This window comes from Homo sapiens, chromosome 1 (genome assembly GCF_000001405.40).
Source record: "Homo sapiens chromosome 1, GRCh38.p14 Primary Assembly".
NCBI lineage: Eukaryota > Metazoa > Chordata > Mammalia > Primates > Hominidae > Homo > Homo sapiens.
In genome coordinates, this window is record NC_000001.11 from 24253055 (window position 1) to 24273180 (window position 20126).

General features: G+C 44.5%; 1 annotated feature.

Moving 5' to 3' along the window:
• Window positions 1767-2333: an enhancer, noted in NCBI's record as "H3K27ac-H3K4me1 hESC enhancer chr1:24581311-24581877 (GRCh37/hg19 assembly coordinates)". NCBI's record gives its function as "activates a minimal SCP1, AML or CMV promoter by ChIP-STARR-seq in primed H9 embryonic stem cells {active_cell/tissue: H9 hESC(primed)}" and the evidence as "EXISTENCE:reporter gene assay evidence [ECO:0000049][PMID:30033119]".

Genomic DNA, 20126 nt, shown 5'->3' on the forward strand with positions numbered 1-20126 from the left:
TGCCAACACTTTCATGGGACTCATGAACCTCTTAAAACCCCCCAGACACTTAAAACCCTCCAGAACCCCTGACGAACTGATTTTAAAAGAGAATCCAAATTCCAGGAGGCCAAGGCGGTAAATGATGAATTCAAAGAGATGAACTGTCAAATGGGGGAATTTTAGGCAATAACCTAGATCAGGTAAGAGGGTGAGAAATTGGGACAGTTTTCTGTTGTGATGTGAGTTCCCAAGCGTCTAGGCCCAAATGGATGAGCTATGCCATCCATCCATCCACCCCTCAAAATATTCATGGGGCACCCCCCTGTACCAGGCCTTATACTCAATTCTGGGAGCACAGAGATGAATCAGACACAGATCCGGCCCTCGAGGACCCCAGTGGAAGCAGACTCAGCCACAGATAATTACTTTCAGGTTAGTACTAAAATAAAGGCAACTGCAAAACACAGAGCAAGGCCCAACAATTCTTTCCTTGCTGGGGCTTTAAAATATATCTCTTACAGATGAGAATATGGTAACAAACAACTGGAAGGAGAGTGCCAACCAGTGATGAAACTTTATCTTAAAGCTGTGGAGGAGCTAGCTTCACACTAGAAGCCTCCCCTGCTCATAAGATACCTGGGGGAGAGCCGGGGAAGGAAGGAGTTGAGAATCAAGAGTTAAAGGGCTAGAAACCTTTGCATGTCCCTAGGCTGCTGACTGCCCCCTAATGACAGGCTACAGAAGGCAGGGGTAAGTCTCTCTCTTCCTCAACCACTGAAGGGGTCCATTTCATCTGGTGAAAGGTCAGCCCCCGACCAAGGCTTGCGGGAAGGCCAGGACGCCATCACAGACCAGGCAGACATCAGGGCGAGATGGAGTGCTCACCTCAGGGATTCGGGTAAGCCTTCCCTGCCTCACTTAAGGCCACCAGAGAGGAGGTGTGGAGTTGAGTAAAGGCCTCTGTGGGTCTGTCTGCTCCATCCTCTCTTCTCACCATTCAACGTGAATTGCAGATTACCGAAGAACCGGAAGAGGCTAAGGTTCTAGTCCTGTCGTTGTGGATCCCGGAGTTTGTGATGTGTTATCTGAGGGCATGTGATAGTTCATTTGAGAATTGATAATAACCATTCGTTGATATGCCGGGCACCGAGGTACTTTCATCTCATAAGTTCACAGAGCTAGAAAATAGAAGAGGAATTTGAAACCAGTGGGCCAACTCCAAGGCCTGAGCTTCCAACCACTATACTCCTCTGTCTCCCTCTAAGAGAGATCTTGTGAGGACTGTGAGTTCCTCGCTAACACTCAGTGATGGCCACAGTGGCATTGTCCTAAAAAGCCATCTGCTCTCGTCCTTCGTGCTCTAGCTCCAGCAGCCTTCCCAGAGCACTACATCTTCACCTCTTTTGCAAGCTATCTTCACCTCTTTTGAGGCACAGATATTTTCTACTTTGTATTACATTTCTGCAACTACCTTCCTCTTTCCGCAAGGACGCAGATGCTCTTTGTGGACACGGGCACGTGTGCATCATCTTGATGCTCCACCTGGTGCTTAGGTTACGGCAGCCATCAATCGAGTCCTGTCCAGACTTCCAAGTAAGGAGCGGGTAATTTCCACCATCTTGGTCTTGGATAGGCAATGCTGCTAGGCACACAAATTCCGTCCCAGGGCCACAGACGACACCACTCTGGCCAGTGCCTCATAAACGTGCGTGTGAAGGACAGATTCGAGTCCATCTGCAGATCAATGACCGTGAGGAGCTGGCACATAGGGAAGAAAGCCAGGTCAAGCTATGAACTGCAGAGGAGTCTTGGACGCTGTGGGAAACGGCTCCTTCCCAGCTATAGCTGGAGCCAGGCCTGGCCCCTGGGTGACCTCACAGCCCGGCCTCTGCTAATTGGCTCATGGTGATACAGAGAGGCATGCTGGCGCAGAGGCTCTGTCCAATAGGAGAGCTCAATGTTGGACGGTGGCAAGCAGACCCAATCAGGGCCTTCCACTAAGAGCTCAGCTGCGTGGTGCAGCCTGGGACTGGAAATTTACCCTCAGCTTTTAACACCAGAAGTGGTGTTTCTGGGCCTCCATCTTTGCCTGTGGAGGAACAGGTAGTCGCACCCATAGTCGGCTGCATGAGGCCCTTATAGGGTTGCTGCAGGGCTGGTGGCACCCCCTAGACTCGCTCTCTCTTTTTTTAAGTCCAGCCGAATATCATAGGTGCGCTCTTTGGGGGCTTTGCCCCTGGAGTTTTGCTATTCCTGTTCTGTGATGTGTCTCTATCTCCTCCAGGAGATAGCTTGCTATCACTGCATTCTGTTCCTATAAGAAACAGAGAGACCTGGGAAATTGAATAAATTGCACAGTCATGCAGCTATGATGGAGCAGTTAGTATTCTGTCCCCGGTCTGTCTGTTACACAAGTCCTCTCTTAACCACATGAGGCAAAGTAGCAGAGGTAAGGAGCAATGTTTGCTCCCAGCAGAATTTCACAAAGCCCTTGACTCGTGACAGCGCAGCCCTCCTGCTCTTAAGATGATGAGCGGGATAGAGCACAGGTTCCCACATCTCTTGCCCGAATCACAGCATTTTTAGAAAAAAATAAGTTCAATGATCCTGGCCCTTGCCTCTTCCTGTGCATAAGGTACTGACAGGACTAATGATTGTGCCTCTGTAATCTATAAACACATGTACCCTCGCACCCAAACTTTCATAAGATTTTGCTCTAATGTAACTTCTTAGTAGGTTTGATGTAACTTCTGAGCACATGCAGAACCACTTCCACCTTCATATAAACTGGACTTAAATACTGCTTTGAAGCAGCCTAACATAAACTCTCTGAAAGACTACCAGGTTGCGATCCTCTTAATAAAACTAATTCTTAGGCTGGGGACGGTGGCTCACACCTGTAATCCCAGCACTTTGGGAGGCCAAGGTGGGCAGATCACCTGAGGTCAGGAGTTCGAGACCAGCCTGGGCAACATGGTGAAACCCCCGTCTCTACTAAAAATACAAAAATTAGCCGGGTGTAGTGGCGCACGCCTGTAATCCCAGCTACTGAGGAGACTGAGGCAGGAGAATCGCTTGAACCCAGAAGGCAGAGGTTGCAGTGAGCCGAGATGGCGCCATGTCACTCCAGCCTGGGTAACAGAGTGAGACTCTATCTCAAAAAATAAAAAATAAAAACTATTTCAAAGCCTGATTTTTCTTTAGTTGGCAACCACAAGGCTGTAGTGTTCCCCCTAGGTGGTCTTGGAACCCACCCTGTCTTCACAACCCAACACAGTCTTTGTCAGCCAACATTCCTGAGTACATCCTTCTCGTCTCCATTTCACAGGCTCAGAGAGGTGAAGTGACTTGCTCAAAACTGCACAGGCACTGAGTATCAGAACTCAGTTTTGCACCCAGTTCTGTATGACTCCAAGGTCTTCATAATTCAAAGTAAAACTGAGCTTCTGGTTAGAGTCTTGTGTGGTTGGATACTTCCTGGGTGTTTGCCTTGGCTCACCACAAGCCTGGAAGCATAGGGAGGGCATGACACCTGTATGCTGGGGTTTGGCATAGGGCTGAGCACACAGTAGGTCATGAATACATGCAGGCTCCGTGAAAGTATTCTCTCTTGTCTCCTTTCTTCATTGCCTGGTGTCATGATTAGGTCACCCAGGAGACACAATTACCTTAGTACAAATCCATCAGTTCCTCAAAACTAGTGATTGACAATAGAACAATGAATGATTGGTAAGCCTATTGCTGCCTTGGCAGACCCGTGGTGAATTTCTCATCAGACCTTCAAGGCTGGCAGGTCGACATAGCACATGGGAAAGAGCACAGGCTCAGAAGTCAGAAAGGATTTCAGACCTTGCCTCTAATTTACTTTCTGTAGGACTATGTCTGGTTTCAGTTTCTACCACCATATGTAATAATCATCAACTTGGTAAGTGCCCAGCACATTCATTTCCAAATGTCCAAATATATATATGACAGCTAGGAAAATTGATCCAAAAAGATGACTCATTCCTGGGTCTCCTAACTCTAGGTCTGATCCTTTTCTCCAAATTAATGTCTCAATCTTAGTAAGCCATACTTGGGTTCAAATCCTGGCTCTACAAAGTTTTTGTTGCCTGATCTTGGTTGGGCAAGGATTGAATGGAATAACTAAATATAAATATTAAGTGCAGTCATGATTACAGTATAGACTGCGGTTTTCTGACCCTGCTACTGAATGTATAATCCTTGAAGGCAAGCCTTTTTCTTATTCATCTTAGTTACCTATCTAAGTAGCTCTGGCCACACACAGGTACATTTACTGAGCACCTACTACATGCTGAAGCACTTACTACATACCCACTGTGCTGAAGCCTCCACATGCATCATCTCTTCCACTCCTCACAGAAATTCTGTGAATGGATCATATTACCCCATCTTGCAGATGTGGCCACTGAGGATCAGAAAGTTGAAGTGATTTCATTAACACAGTGCCAAGTTTCAACACAGGTCTGTCTGATTCCAGAGCCCACGTGGTTGATCGCTGTGCCACCCAGCTTTGCTGAGAAGTTGTTCAGTAACCATGATAAATGGGTGATGAATTGTACAGTTGAGTCAATCAACAGCCAGTTCAGGCAGCCAGACCTACAAAGCATGTGATTTTGTCATCTATGAGTTCTTACCTCCAGTGACATCTGAAAGAGGGCTTTCTCTAGTCAGCCTCTCTTTCCCCAGAGCCCTGGAGTTAGGCAGCTCTCTTGGGGCAAAAGCCTGCCTCCTGAAGCCTGGCCTGGCCCCCCAGTGAAGGCAGAGGGCTTGGCGCTGTGCTGAATGCATATTAGGCACTCTGGACACCTTGTCAGCTGATGGAAAGATCAATTGGTTGATGGAGAGAGCTCATGGGACACAGCCCTAGTTGTGAAACTACTCTTAGTTCCAGAGCAAGGAGAATTTCTTCCGGTCCATCTTAGGAGGGAGGGCTGCCTGAGGGCCAAACACCCTCATGGGAATTGAGAAGCTTATAGGGACAGATGCAGGTGTGGTAGGTGGTCCTGAGATTTTCCAGTCCCTTCCCCTCTCCCTGTCCTGTGAATGTCTCCACAGCCAGCCTAACAATCATGTGGTGCACTGGAGTTCACAACACGCTTTCACATACGTGACCCCATTTTAGAGCCTTACAGCAATGCTTTTTAGGTAGTTGTGGATGGGAAGCAGCATGGCCTGATGGCAGAGCCCAAGTTGTAAAGTCATCAGAGCTGGTCCAGATCTCAGCTCTACCACTTCATAACCTTATGACTTTGGGAAATTTTCTAAACCTCTCTGAATCTGGGCTTTCTTTCTCTGTAAAATGGGGATAAGAATAGTCCCTCCGTCACAGGGCATTGCGAGAAGTAGGTGCTATTTGTAAAGTTTCCAAGAACTCAAAAAATGAATATTTTAAAATTAGGTATTCCTTACATAGTTATTATATAGTCTGTTGCCCCTTGGATACATGACTTGCCCAAGGTCACTCAGCTCGTAAGCAGCAGAGCTGGGACTCACACTTGGTTTTCCTGGTCCTGAGGGATGGTAGCAGTCGGTGCTTATTGTATTCCAGCTGACCTGAATAGGATGGGAGAAGTGTGTTGCCTATGTTCATATCATGCTTCTTAGGGATAGAAGTAGACATCAAGTTGGGGAGGGGTCTGGCACTCAGAGGTAGCAGCATGGAAGCAGGGCGGGATGGAAGGTAACTGAGATCCCCTTTGCTGGGCCTGGCATCCTTTCCAGCTCCCTGCCTGTGGTCTCCTCCCTGCATGTCCTCTGCCTGAGGTCTCCTCCCTGCCTGTCCTCTGCCTGTTGCTGTAACTTTCCGGTGTCTTGATGATTTCCCAAGATGAATGCACCACACCTCAAATGAGCTGTTTGCCCAAATGATAGGATGCTCTTGGTTCATCCAATGAATGAATATTTATGAAGTCTCTACAAGGTCTACAACCCTGTAATCAGGGCTGGAGGGCGGAGATGCTGGACAACAAAAGATCTGGGCCCGCAAGGATTTTCCAATACAGCAGTGGACCCAAAACACAGTACTGGGTGGATGTATTTCTGCCCCCTCCACCTACTTCCTAATTTATGCCCACCTAGCATCAGTCCTTCCTTTTAAGTCTGCACGTGGCGGGTGGAGCTCGGCTGAAGTCCCCGAGGGCTGCTTGGCTGGGTGGGTTTAGAGACAGCCAAGAGCAGACAGCTATTTGACATTCCCTGGGAGAGGGAGGAATGAATCATAGTTGTCTTGGGTGGTGAATGTCAGCTGGCCCTGTCGCTAATCAATACTGGGCCCAGTGGATCACGAGGCTGGGAGATCGAGACCACGGTGAAGCCCTGTCCCTACTAAAAATACAAAAAATTAGCCGGGCGCGGTGGCGGGCGCCTGTGGTCCCAGCTACTCGGGAGGCTGAGGCAGGAGAATGGCGTGAACCTGGGAAGCGGAGCTTGCAGTGAGCCGAGATCGCGCCATTGCACTCCAGTCTGGGCGACAGAGTGAGACTCCGTCTCAAAAAAAAAAAAAAAAAAAAAAAAAAAAAAAAAAAAAAAAAAAAAATCTGGGCCCAGAAGTGGTAGATTCTCGGAGAAGAGAACCGGGGCAGGGTGTCCTCTACGTCCCTGACTCTCAGGCCTTACCCAGAAGGCAACTGGTCTTCTGGGAAGGCAAGATGGCAAGGGGAAGCTTGGATGCTTTGGGCCTCTTATTGGAGCCTTTTCTTTAGCCTAAGGTCTTCTTTGTGCCAGCCTATCACCTCCATAGCATGTGACAAGTTTAAGAATGTGCTACTTCCTAGGCCTCTGGGACCCACTTTCTCGTCCTTTTTCCTTAAAAAGAAATGAGTCTTATTTTATTATTAAAGGAATACTACACGCCTAAACCATTTGGAAAAAGGGAAATGTAGAAAGAACTCTTAAAACCATATTTAGACCCACCACTCAAAGCCAACCACAAGTTTTGGCATCTTTTATTTGAATCCTTTAGAAAACACTTTGACATTATGCTAAGTGAAGTAAACCAGTTACAAAAAGGCAAATACTGCACGATTCCACTTCTGTGAGGTATCTAAAGTCATTCAAACTCATAGAAACAGAAAGTAGGGTGCTGGTTGCCTGGGACTCAAGAGAGGGGAATGAGGAGTTGTTTGGTGGGTATAGATTTTCGGTCATGCAAGATTAAGAAGTTCTAGAGCTGGCCGGGCGCGGTGGCTCACGCCTGTAATCCCAGCACTTTGGGAGGCCAAGGGGGGGGCGAATCACGAGGTCAGGAGTTCGAGACCAGCCTGGCCAACATGGTGAAACCCCGTCTCTACTAAAAATACAAAAAATTAGCCGGGCATGGTGGCGGGTGGCTATAATCCCAGCTACTCAGGAGGCTGAGGCAGGAGACTCGTTTGAACCCGGGAGGCAGAGGTTGCAGTGAGCCGAGATCGTGCCACTGCACTCCGGCCCCAGCGACAGAGTGAGACTCTGTCTCAAAAAACAAAACAAAACAAAAAAAAGTTCTAGAGCTCTGTTATATGACAACGTGCGTATAGTTAACACTACTGTACACTTAAAAATAGTTAAGGGAGTAAATTTATGTTGTGGAGGTTTTTTTTTTTTTTAACCACAATTACAAAAAACACTTTGTATGTGTCTGCTCTACTAGAGGTGAAAGTCTGTGTCCTGCTGTAGTCACTTAATGTAAAATATTAAAGCAAATCTAGATTTTTGCTGCCATTATTTTGAATGGATACATCATATTTCACTAGGTTGAGATACCGTAATTTACTTCACATTGCCCTCTGGGACGCTGTGGTAGTTATTCCACTGTATAAGTAAGGATGCAGTGAGAATTTCATATACAAGGGTTTTCCCTGTTCACAATAACCTAAGCAAGTCTCCCTGAAGAGAAGGTACAGGATCAAAGGATATCAACATATCAAGGGCTTTTAAGACCCATTGCCAAATTGTTTTCCAAAACAGTTGTACTAATTTCCACTCCCACCAGCCACGAATGAGAGCTCCTCTTTCAACCACGCCCTTGGCAACCTTGGCTATTATCATTTCCTCAAATCTGGGCTGATTTGATAGGCAACCATTTGCATCTCATTTTAATTTTTAATTCCTTCAATAACTAATGAGACGGAACATCTTTCCATGTGTTCGTGAATTGCTTATTCCTGTCTTCTAACCTTTCCTTCATCCATTTAGCTTTCGGCATCTGCAAGGTTTTTCTCGTAGAGTTGTATAAGTTCTCCCAGGACTGAGTTTCTGCTACATCACAGTCTGGGATGGCACAGGCAGCATCCCCTTCTCTAGCCCTTTCCCCCATCAGAGGCGCCTCTCCCCATCTCCCTAATTCCTATTCATTCTTCAAGGACCAGTTAAGGCTCCACCTTCTCTCAAAAGCCCACCCTGCTAGGCCCAATATCTCTTTTTCTTCCCCTCTCCACTTCATTTAAACACAATTAGGCATTTTAGAACGTGGTTATATTTTCAGGATCGTTCAGGTTGGGTCTCTGTGTTCCACCACATCCTGTCTCCCAGGGAGTATGGGGCTCCCCTGCATTAGTGCAATGCTAGGCACAAAATAAGTGAACTTGGCAGCAACCTGCCAGCTCTAAAACTAAAGCCTAGACTTCCTCTGGCCTCTGGCCAAGCCATAGACTTCCACTTCGGGAAAATCATGGTGTTTTGGTGACAGGTGGACTTGGGTTCCAATCCCAGCTCCTCCACTAACTTAACAGGACTAAATTCTTCGCCCTTGCTGGGCCTTTGTTCTCTTGGTTGGCAAATGGGATAACGGCTTTTATCTCACTTGGTGATGTGAGGATTAAATGAAGTAATTTGAAACAAGGGTTTTGAACAGTTCTTGGTATAAAATAAACACTTAAAAAAAACACAGGAGCTATTATTGTTTCTTCACCACCATTCATGTCTCTCCCCTCCTTCAGAAAACTTGGTTTTTCCAAGATGTCATCTCTGTTGGTTTCCTACTGCCACTGCGATGAATTACCCCAAACTTAGTGGTTTAAAACAACACAGATGTATCCTCTTACAGTTCTACGTATTAGAAGTCTGAAATGGGGCTGGGTGCGGTGACTCATGCCTGTAATCCCAGCACTTTAGGAGGCTGTGGCAGGAGGATCATTTGAGGCCAGGAATTTGAGACCAACCTGGACAACATAGTGAGACCCCATCTCTACAAAAAGTAAAAAAATTAACCAAGTGTGGTGGTGCGTGCCTGAAGTCCCAGCTGGTCAGGAGGCTGAGGTAGGAGGATTGCTTAAGCCCAGGAGGTCGAAGCTGCTGTGAGCTATGACTGTGCCACTGCACTCTAGCCTGGGTGACAGAGACCTTGTCTCAAAGAGATAAAAATAAATAAAAATAAAGAAGTCTGAAGTGGGTTTTGCTGGATCAAATCCAGATGTCATCAGGGCCATGCTCCCTCCAAGGCTCCAGGGAAGAATCTATTTTCTTCTTTTTATCAATTTCTAGAGGTTGCCTCCATCCCTTGGCTTGTGACCCCTTCCTCCATCTTCAAAGAACATCACTCTAACCTCTGCCTTCTGTCCTCACTTCTCTTTCTGTATCTCTGAACTTTCTGACCATAAAACCTGGTGATTACATTGGGTCCACCCAGATAATCTCTCGTGTCAAGATCCTTAGCTTAATTACATCTGCAAAGTCCCTTCGAGCAGGTGAGGTAACATATTCACAAGCTCTGGGGATTAAGACTGCACATTTTAGGGGCCATCATCCAGCCTGCTTTCCTATTTGTGCCTGCTTGATTTGGCCTCCACAACCCTGTGCACTTGGCTGTTCGGCATCCTCCAGGAAGGGGCGAGAGGGAAAAAAGAATGGTCCCTGAGCAAGCCCTGTAGTAGGTTTCCTGATTCACCTGGGGGTAGAGATTCTGACATTTCCATAAGGAAATGGAGGCTTAGAGAGGCTTGGTGCTTATCTAAGATCACACAGCACAGCCAGGTTTAGTGCCCTCCCGGGCTGGCTGACTCCAGATCTCTGTTCCTTTCACCACCCAAGGATGGTGTCTCACATTCAGGGTTGTTCTCTATTCATTTAAATTCGGTCCAACACACAGGTCTTGAGCAGGTACCTACCTTGAGGAAGGCAACATACGATAGATAACATAGTTTTCTGTAATTTTATGTAGAATAGCTATCTGATTTTAGGCGAGTCATGTTGACTGTCAACCTTAGTTTCCTCCTGTGCGAAAGGAGGCAGAGGTCATAGAAAAAAAGAAGGCCACGAACAACCACTTCACAGGGGAGGAAACTCAAATGGCCAGGAAGTGTGTGAAAAGATGTTTCACCTCATTCATAATCAAGGAAATGCAAACTCAAACAATAATGAGAACCTCCATGGTTCTCTTTGCCTCATCAAGTGGAATTTGACCTTTGGGATGATGTAAGCTGTGGGCTCTATCTCTTGGTCTGCCCTACTTTTTTTTTCTTTCTTTTTGTTTTTTTTTGTTGTTGTTTGTTTGTTTTTGAGAAAGGATCTCACTCTGTCACTGGACTGTAGTAGCACAATCATGGCTCACTGCAGCCTCCGCCCCCTGGGCTCAAAAGATCCTCCCACCTCAGCCTCTCAAGTAGCTGGGACTACTGGTGCACACCACCAAGGTCAGCTAATTTTTTTTTTTGTATTTTCTTTTGTAGAGACTGGGTCTCCCTGTGTTGCCCATGCTAGTCTTGAACTCCTGAGCTCAAGTGATCTGCCTGCCTCAGTCTCCCAAAGTGTTGGGATTACAGGCATGAGTCACTGTGCCTGGCCTGCCTACATTTCTAGAAGCAGATAGTGTGCTCCACAAATGCTATTGGTGGCTTCAAACTCATCATCCCAGAACTCCAAATGTTCAATCTGGTTTGGGAGAAAATGCCTGAGAGTTGATCCCACATGTTGATTTAAACCAAAACCTTCAAAATATTTGGAGGAGGTAGAGGATGAAGTGTGTGCTAAGGAAAAGAAGAGTCATCTCTGGCCAGCCCATCCTGTTTCCAAGGGAAACCTTGTTCTCAAGACAGGCACCTAACAGAACTGCCTTTTCAATGTATCTGTTTACTCACGTATTGTTTATTCACTCCTAATCCCTCTGAGGACAGGGACCTCGTCTGTCTTGTTCATTATATTTACGATATTGCCTGGTGCATAGTAGGTCAAGGAATACGTGTCAAGTTGAATGAAGGAATTGCTTCTCTCTGGACCTCAGTTTTCTTATCTGGAAATTGATCGGGCTGAACTTAGTTTTGATTCATTGGTTGGTTCATTGATTCATTAAAAAATTTTGATTAAGCCCTTCTATGCCAGGCCCTTGCTAGATGTTAGGTATATGGTGTTGAAAAAAACAGACGACAGCTTTGATCCCACCATGGAGCCAGACAGTCACTACTTTCACACAATTAACTTTAATGATACACTGTGATAAGTGCTCCAAAGGAGAAAATACAGAGTTCTATGAGGGCATTTATTTAACAGGGGAGACCTCTAAATCTAGAAATCAAAACACCTTGTTAGAACTGCCAGTCCTCAAGCAAACCTATTTTTTTGATAAGCAAATGAATGTCCCCATGATGAAGAGCTCCAGACCAGTTGAAGTGGCTCAAATCCCATGAAGCCAGTGATTTGCTGGACCCCACCAAAGATTCCTATCCCGTGGGGCTGTGGTCCCTCCAGTTCCGCCATCAATAGGTTGGAACTCACCTTGTTCAGGTACCTTCAACCGTTCTCTATTTCCAGACTCCTCACACTAGAATCAAGGTCTTCTGTAATCTGACTCCCACTTTTCTGGTGAGCCTTATCTGTCCCACACTCTGCACTCCAACAATGCTGGGCTGACCCCAGCATTGCCACTCACTACCACGGGGCCTGGGCCAGGACCTCGGTTTTGTCACCGGTGACATAATGGGATCGGACTAACATGATGTTCAGGTTTTATAAATGGTATGTGATTCTGGGATTACTCCCTTAAAGCACTGCACACTTTTCGCCTTCATGCTTTTACCCAAGCTGTGCTGTCTGCCTGGAAGACCACAGTTGCCACCTGTGATCTCTGTGAAATGAGACTGATATTCTAGATTTCTCTCCTTCACAATGGAGCTCAAATACCATCTTCTCCAAGAAGTTCTTTCTCCATGTTTTCAGAACAATATGTTTGACACTTTATTAGGATACTTATTACCTTCTACCATGCACAGCTGTGTACAGACACTATAACCTAGTGTTTGACTGTGGACTCGGCAGTAAAATAAACCAGGGTTCAGATCCCAGCTTTGCCACTTATTAGCTGTGCAAACTTGGCAAGTCATTTAACTCTCTGAGCTTCCATTACCTTATCTGTGAAATGGGAATTATAAAGCCTTCACTGTGTTGTACAAACTAAATGTGAAAATAAACAGGAAGTATTTCATGGTACTTGGCAAGCAGCAAGGGCTAAACCCACGGTCACTCTCTCTTACTACATTCTAAGTCCCTTTGTGATAGGAACTAGAGCTTATCCATTTCTGTACCCCCCAGAGAGCTTAAAGAAGAAAAGAGAAATGAACTAACCGATGATTCCACATCTACTACAGGCCAGGCATTGTCCTGTACATACATATTCCTTTTAATTCTCACAACTCAGTGAAGTAGGTATTATAATTACTCCCATTTTACAGATGAGGGAATTGAGGCTCAGAGAAGTGAAGTGCCTTACCCAAGGCCATGCAGATGATAATTGGTGGAGCTGAGATCTGAGCAGGGATGTGTGCCTCCAGAGGCCAAACTGGCTCTGAGTAATTCAAATGAACTTGTTCAGCACAGCTTAATATGTCTCCTAGAAACTACTCCCAAAGTTTACGGCATTGTCAGTTTACTTCTATTTCCCACGTGAGAGTGCAGGCTCCTTGAGAGCAGGGTCTGTGTCTTACTCCTTGTTATTTCCCATAGCCCCAAATATCTACAAGTGTGCCTTAGACATAGTCATTTGCTGGATGGATAAACAGATGGGTGGGTGGATGGATAGATGGAAGGATGGATGGATGGTTGGATGGATGGATGGATGGATGGATGGATGGATGGATAGATAGATGGATGGAAGGATGGATGGATGGATGGATGGATGGATGGATGGATGGATGGATAGATGGATGGATGGATGGATGGATAGAGGGAGGGTGGGAGGGATGGATGGATGGATGGATGGATGGATGGATGGATGGATAGATGGATGGAAGGATGGATGGATGGATGTACAGAGGAACCAATGAGTGCATGAATACAAGAGTCCCCAGAGGAAGTGCTTGCCTACCAAGCATTCTACTCGAATAGCTCTCTGCTCCCTTCCCCAGGGACAGCCCAAGGGCCTGGCTGAGAGTGGAAAAGACTGTGAGAGAAAAGTAGGGAAGAAAACACACCCCATGTGACCACCAAGCGTCTCTCAAGGTGTCATTATGGTGGAAGCCACAGTTGTCAGATTCCAGCTGCAGTAGTCACACTGGCCTCTGGCCTCTGGAATGCCACCACGGTGGGGCAGACTTCTTGGTGACCATTAAGTGTGGAGCCAGGGTCTGATTCATGCTGCAATCTTTCCTCCCCCTTTCTCTCCACCAGCGCCCACTGCCCCACCCTGATTCTTGACCACAAGGAGATAGACCACGGGTCAGGTTTTACACAGAGCCATCAAATCCCCAGAGAGGGTTTTGGCCCAGGAAGTAGGTCAAAAGCCACTACCTTATTATGGAAACAGTAGCAAAGGCCCAAGATGCTTAATCACCAGGCTTGACTGATGGTATCACTGTCTCCCCGCATACCCGGGAGGGAGGGAGGGAGGGAGCTGAGGGCGATGTGAATATCCCCAGCCCACACTCACTTGGGCGGGATGAAGGAGATGATGTGTTCAAAGGGCACACATCACCCGTAGCACAGGGCCTGGCCTGTAGTAAGCGCTCAGTAAATGGGAGCTGCAATTATTAGTGTTACCAATTATCATTAAAGGTAATTAACTGCTACTGAAGTGGTGCTTCACTCTGGCTACATCTAGAAAGGATTTTAAGCCCACGGTTTGGAACCCAAGTCCATGTCACACCCCAAAGTAATGAAAAGAAAAGGTAAAAAGGAAAGATTGTGTTTACTTAGTACGAGGTAATCCATAAAGTAGAATCCGGGGCAGCTGTTAAGTCACTGGGTGGTGCCATATTTATTGCCAGTGTTTGGACTGTAGTGCCTAGGTGCCCAGCTGTGAAGTCAGAGGGACTGTCAACTTAGTGCCATCACTTATGCTTCCAGAGCCTCACTTTCCCACTCTGTAAAACTAATATACAAAGTCCTACCTGTGGACTTGTTGAATGATTAAATGTGCACTGATATCCCCTAGCTTGGCCACAAATGAGATCCCTGGAATAATGATATGAATATAAATCCTGCATTTTCAGGACCACAGCAGGTGGGTCTAATACCTCAGACCACAGACCTACTTGGGGAACTGTGGAGTCAATCTATACATGGGCTTAGCACAGTTCTTGGCGTTAGTAACTTCTCAGTAAATATAGTCATTCCTCGGTGTCTGAGGGGGATTCGTTCCTGAACCCCACAGGGATACCAAAATCTGAGGATGCTCAGGTCCTTGATATAAAATGATGTAGTATTTGCATATAACATATGCACATCCTCCCATATACATTTTTTTGAGGGGACAGGGTCTTGCTCTGTTGCCCAGGCTGGAGTGCAGTGGTGTGATCACAGCTCACTGCACCCTTGACCTCCTAGGCAAATGCAATCCTCCTACCTTGGCCTCCTGAGTAGCTGGGACCATAGGCATGTGCCACCATATCCTAATTTTTTTGTACTTTTTGTAGAGACAGCGTTTCACCATGTTGGCCAAGCTGGTTTTGAACTCCTGAGCTCAAGCCATCCGTCCCCACCTTGGCCTCCCAAAGTGTTGGGATTTCAGGCATGAGCCACTGTGCCCAGTCCCCTCCAGTATACTTTATTTTTTATTTTTTTGAAGCAGAGTCTTACTCTGTCTCCCAGAGAGGTGTGATCTCAGCTAACTGCAACCTCCACCTCCTGGGTTCAAGGGATTCTTGTGCTTCAGCCTCCTGAGTAGCTGGGATTACAGGCATGTGCTAACACACCTGGCTAATTTTTTGTATTTTTAGTAGAGATGGGGTTTTGCCATGTTGGCCAGGCTAGTCTTGAACCCTTGACCTCAAGTGATCTGTCTATCTCTGCCTCCCAAAGTACTAGGATTACACGTGTAAGCTACTGTGCCCAGCCCCCTCCTGTATACTTTAAATCATCTCTAGATTACTTATGATACCTTGTATCATGTACATTGTATTCAATGTAAACTCTATGTAAATAGTTGTTCTACTGTATTGGTTTTTATTTGCATTATTTTTATTGTTGTAATGTTATTTGTTATTGTATTTTTTAAATTATACTCTAAGTTCTGGGATACATGTGCAGAACATGCAGGTTTGTTACGTAGATATACATGTGCCATGGTGGTTTGCTGTACCCACCAACCCGTCATCTACATTAGGTATTTCTCCTAATGCTATTCCTCCACTTGCCCCCCACCCTCTGACAGGCCCTGGTGTGTGATGTTCCCCTCTCTGTGTCCATGTGTTCTCATTGTTCAACTCCCACTTATGAGTGAGAACATGTGGTGTTTGGTTTTCTGTTCCTGTGTTACTTTGCTGAGAATGATGGTTTCCAGCTTCATCCATGTCCCTGCAAATGACATGAACTCATCCTTTTTTATGGCTGCATAGTATTCCATGGTGTATATGTGTCGCATTTTCTTTATCCAGTCTATCATTGATGGGCATTTGGGTTGGTTCCAAGTCTTTGCTGTTGTGAACAGTGCTGCAATAAACATATATGTGCATGTGTCTTTATAGTAGAATGATTTATAATCTTTGGGTATATACCCAGTATATACCCAAAGGATTATACTGTGGGATTGTTGGGTCAAATGGTATTTCTGGTTCTAGACCCTTGAGGAATCACCACACTGTCTTCCACAATGGTTGAACTAATTTACACTCCCACCAACAGTGTAAAAGCATTCCTGGCCAGGTGTGATGGCTCAAGCCTGTAATCCTAGCACTTTGGGAGGCTGAGGCAGGCGGATCATGAGGTCAAGAGATCGAGACCATCCTGGCCAACACAGTATAACCCCGTCTCTACTAAAAATACAAAAATTAGCTGGGCATGGTGGAGCACGCCTGTAGTCCCAGCTACTCGGGAGGCTGAGGCAGGAGAATTGCTTGAACCCAGAAGGTGGAGGTCTCAGTGAGCTGAGATCATGCCACTGTACTCCAGCCTGGCAACAGAGTGAGACTCCGTCTCAAAAAAAAAAAAAAGCTTTCCCATTTCTCCACATCCTCTCCAGCATCTATTGTTTCCTGGCTTTTTAATGATTGCTGTTCTAACTGGCATGAGATGGTATCTCATTGTGGTTTTGATTTGCATTTCTCTAATGACCAGCAATGATGAGCTTTTTTTTCATGTTTGTTGACTGCATAAATGTCTTCTTTTGAGAAGTGTCTGTTCATATCCTTTGCCCACCTTTTGATGGGGTTGTTTGTTTTTTTTCTTGTACATTTGTTTAAGTTCCTTGTAAATTCTGGATATTAGCCCTTCGTCAGATGGATGGATTGCAAAAATTTTCTCCCATTCTTTAGGTTGCCTGTTTACTCTGATGATAGTTTCTTTTGCTGTGCAGAAGTTATTTCATTTAATTAGATCCTATTTGTCAATTTTGGCTTCTGTTGCCATTGCTTTTGGTGTTTTAGTCATTAAGTCTTTGCCCATGCCTATGTCCTGAATGGTATTGCCTAGATTTTCTCCCAGGGTTTTTATGGTTTTAAGTCTTACATTTAAGTCTTTAATCCATCTTGAGTTAATTTTTGTATAAAGTGTAAGGAAGGGGTCCAGTTTCAGTTTTCTGCATATGGCTAGCCAGTTTTCCCAATACTATTTATTAAATAGGGAATTCTTTCCCCATTGCTTGTTTTTGTCAGATATGTCAAAGATCAGATGGTTGTAGATGTGTGGCATTATTCCTGAAGCCTCTGCTCTGTTTCATTTGTCTGTGTATCTGTTTTGGTACCAGTACCATGCTGTTTTGGCTACTGTAGCTTTGTAGTATAGTTTGAAGTCAGGTAGCATTATGCCTCCAGCTTTGTTCTTTTGCTTAGGATTGTCTTGGCTATATGGGCTCTTTTTTGGTTCCATATGAAATTTAAAGTAGTTTTTTTTAATTCTGTGAAGAAAGTCAATGGTAGTTTGATAGGGATAGCATTGAATCTACAAATTACTTTGGGCAGTATGGCCATTTTCACAATATTGGTTCTTCCTATCCATGAGCATGGAATCTTTTTCCATTTGTTTGTGTCCTCTCTTATTTCCTTGAGCAGTGGTTTGCAGTTCTCCTTGAAGAGGTCCTTTACATCCCTTGTAAGTTGTATTCCTAGGTATTTTATTCTCTTTGTAGCAATTGTGAATGGGAGTTCACTCAAGATTTGGCTCACTGCTTGTCTATTATTGGTGTATAGGAATGCTTGTGATTTTTGCACATTGATTTTGTATCCTGAGACTTTGCTGAAGTTGCTTGTCAGCTTAAGGAGATTTTGGGCTGAGACGATGGGGTTTTCTAAATATAAAATCATGTCATCTGCAAACAGATGCAATTTGACTTCCTCTCTTCCTATTTGAATACTCGTTACTTCTTTCTCTTGCCTGATTGCCCTGGCTAAAACTTCCAATACTATGTTGAATAGGAGTGGTAAGAGAGGGCATCCTTGTCTTGTGCTGGTTTTCAAAGGGAATGCTTCCAGCTTTTGCTCATTCAGTATGATATTGGCCGTGGGTTTGTCATAAATAGCTCTTATTATTACGTATATGAGATACATTCCATCAATACCTAGTTTATTGAGAGTTTTTAACATGAAGCGGTGTTGAATTTTATCGAAGGCCTTTTCTGCATCTATTGAGATAATCATGTGGTTCTTGTCATTGGTTCTGTTTATGTGATGGATTACCTTTATTGATTTGCATATGATGAACCAGCCTTGCGTCCCAGGGATGAAGCCAACTTAATCGTGTGGCTAAGCTTTTTGATATGCTGCTGGATTCAGTTTGCCAGTATTTTATTGAGGATTTTTGCATCGATGTTCATCAGGGATATTGGCCTAAAATTTTCTTTTTTTGTTGTGTCTCTGCCAGGTTTTGGTATCAGGATGATGCTGGCCTCATAAAATGAGTTAGGGAGGAGTCCCTCTTTTTCTATTGTTTGGCATCGTTTCAGAAGGAATGGTATCAGCTCCTCTTTGTACCTGTGGTAGAATTCGGCTGTGAATGCGTCTTGTCCTGGGAGTTTTTTGGTTGGTAGGCTATTAATTACTGCCTCAATTTCAGAACTTGTTATTGGTCTATTCAGATATTTGACTTCTTCCTTGTTTAGTCTTGGGAGGGTGTATGTGTTCAGGAATTTATCCATTTCTTCTAGATTTTCTAGTTTATTTGCGTAGAGGTGTTTATAGTATTCTCTGATGGTAGTTTGTATTTCTGTGGGATCAGTAGTGATATCCCCTTTATCATTTTTTATTGTGTCTACTTGATTCCTTCTCTTTTTTATTCTTTACTAGTCTGGCTAGCGTTCTATCTATTTTGTTAATCTTTTCAAAAAACCAGCTCCTGGATTCATTGATTTTTTGAAGGGTTTTTCGTGTCTCTATCTCCTTCAGTTGTGCTCTGATCTTAGTTATTTCTTGTCTTCTAGCTTTCGAATTTGTTTGCTCTTGCTTCTCTAGTTCTTTTAATTGTGATGTTAGGGTGTCAATTTTAGATCTTTCCTGCTTTCTCCTGTGGGTATTCAGTGCTATAAATTTCCCTCTAAACACTGCTTTAGTTGTATCCCAGAGATTCTGGTATGCTGTGCCTTTGTTCTCATTGGTTTCAAAGAACTTATGTATTTCTGCCTTAATTTTATTATTTACCCAGTAATCATTCAGAAGCAGATTGTTCAGTTTCCATGTAGTTGTGCAGTTTTGAGTGAGTTTCTTAATCCTGAGTTCTAATTTGATTGCACTGTGGTCTGAGAGACTGTTTGTTATGATTTTTGTTCTTTTGCATTTTCTGAGGAGTGTTTTACTTCCAACTATGTAGTCAATTTTAGAATAAGTGTGATGTGGTGCTGAGAATAATGTATATTCTGTTGATTTGGGGTGCAGAGTTCTGTAGATGTCAGTTAGGTCCACTTGGTCCAGAGCTGAGTTCAAGTCCTGAATATCCTTGTTAATTTTCTGTCGCATTCATCTGTGTAATATTGATAGTGGGGTTAAAGTCTCCCACTATTATTGTGTGGGAGTCTAAGTCTCTTTGTAGGTCCCTAAGAACTTGCTTTATGAACCTGAGTGCTCCTGTATTGGGTGCATGTATATTTAGGATAGTTAGCTCTTCTTGTTGCATTGATCCCTTTACCATTATGTAATGCCCTTCTTTGTCTTTTTTGATCTGTGTTGGTTTAAAGTCTGTTTTATCAGAGACTAGGATTGCAACCCCTGCTTTTTTTTTTTTTTTTGGCTTGGTAAATATTCCTCCATAGCTTTATTTTGAGCCTATGTGTGTCTTTACACATGAGATGGGTCTCCTGAATACAGCACACCAATGGGTCTTGACTCTATCCAATTTGCCAGTCTGTGTCTTTTAACTGGGGCATTTAGCCCATTTACATTTAAGGTTAATATTGTTGTGTGAATTTGATCCTGTCATTATGATGCTATCTGGTTATTTTGCCCGTTAGTTGATGCAGTTTCTTCATAGTGTTGATGGTCTTTACAATTTGGTATGTTTTTGCAGTGGGTGGTACCAGTTTTTCCTTTCCATATTTAGTGCTTCTTTCAGGAGCTCCTGTAAGGCAGGGCTGGTGATGACAAAAATCTCTCAGCATTTGATTGTCTGTAAAGAACTTTATTTCTCCTTCGCTTATGAAGCTTAGTTTGGCTGGATATAAAATTCTGGGTTGAAAATTCTTTTCTTTAAGAGTGTTGAATATTGGCCCCCACTCTCTTCTGGCTTGTAGGGTTTCTGCAGAGAAATCAGCTGTTAGTCTGATGGGCTTCCCTTTGTGGGTAACCCGACCTTTCTCT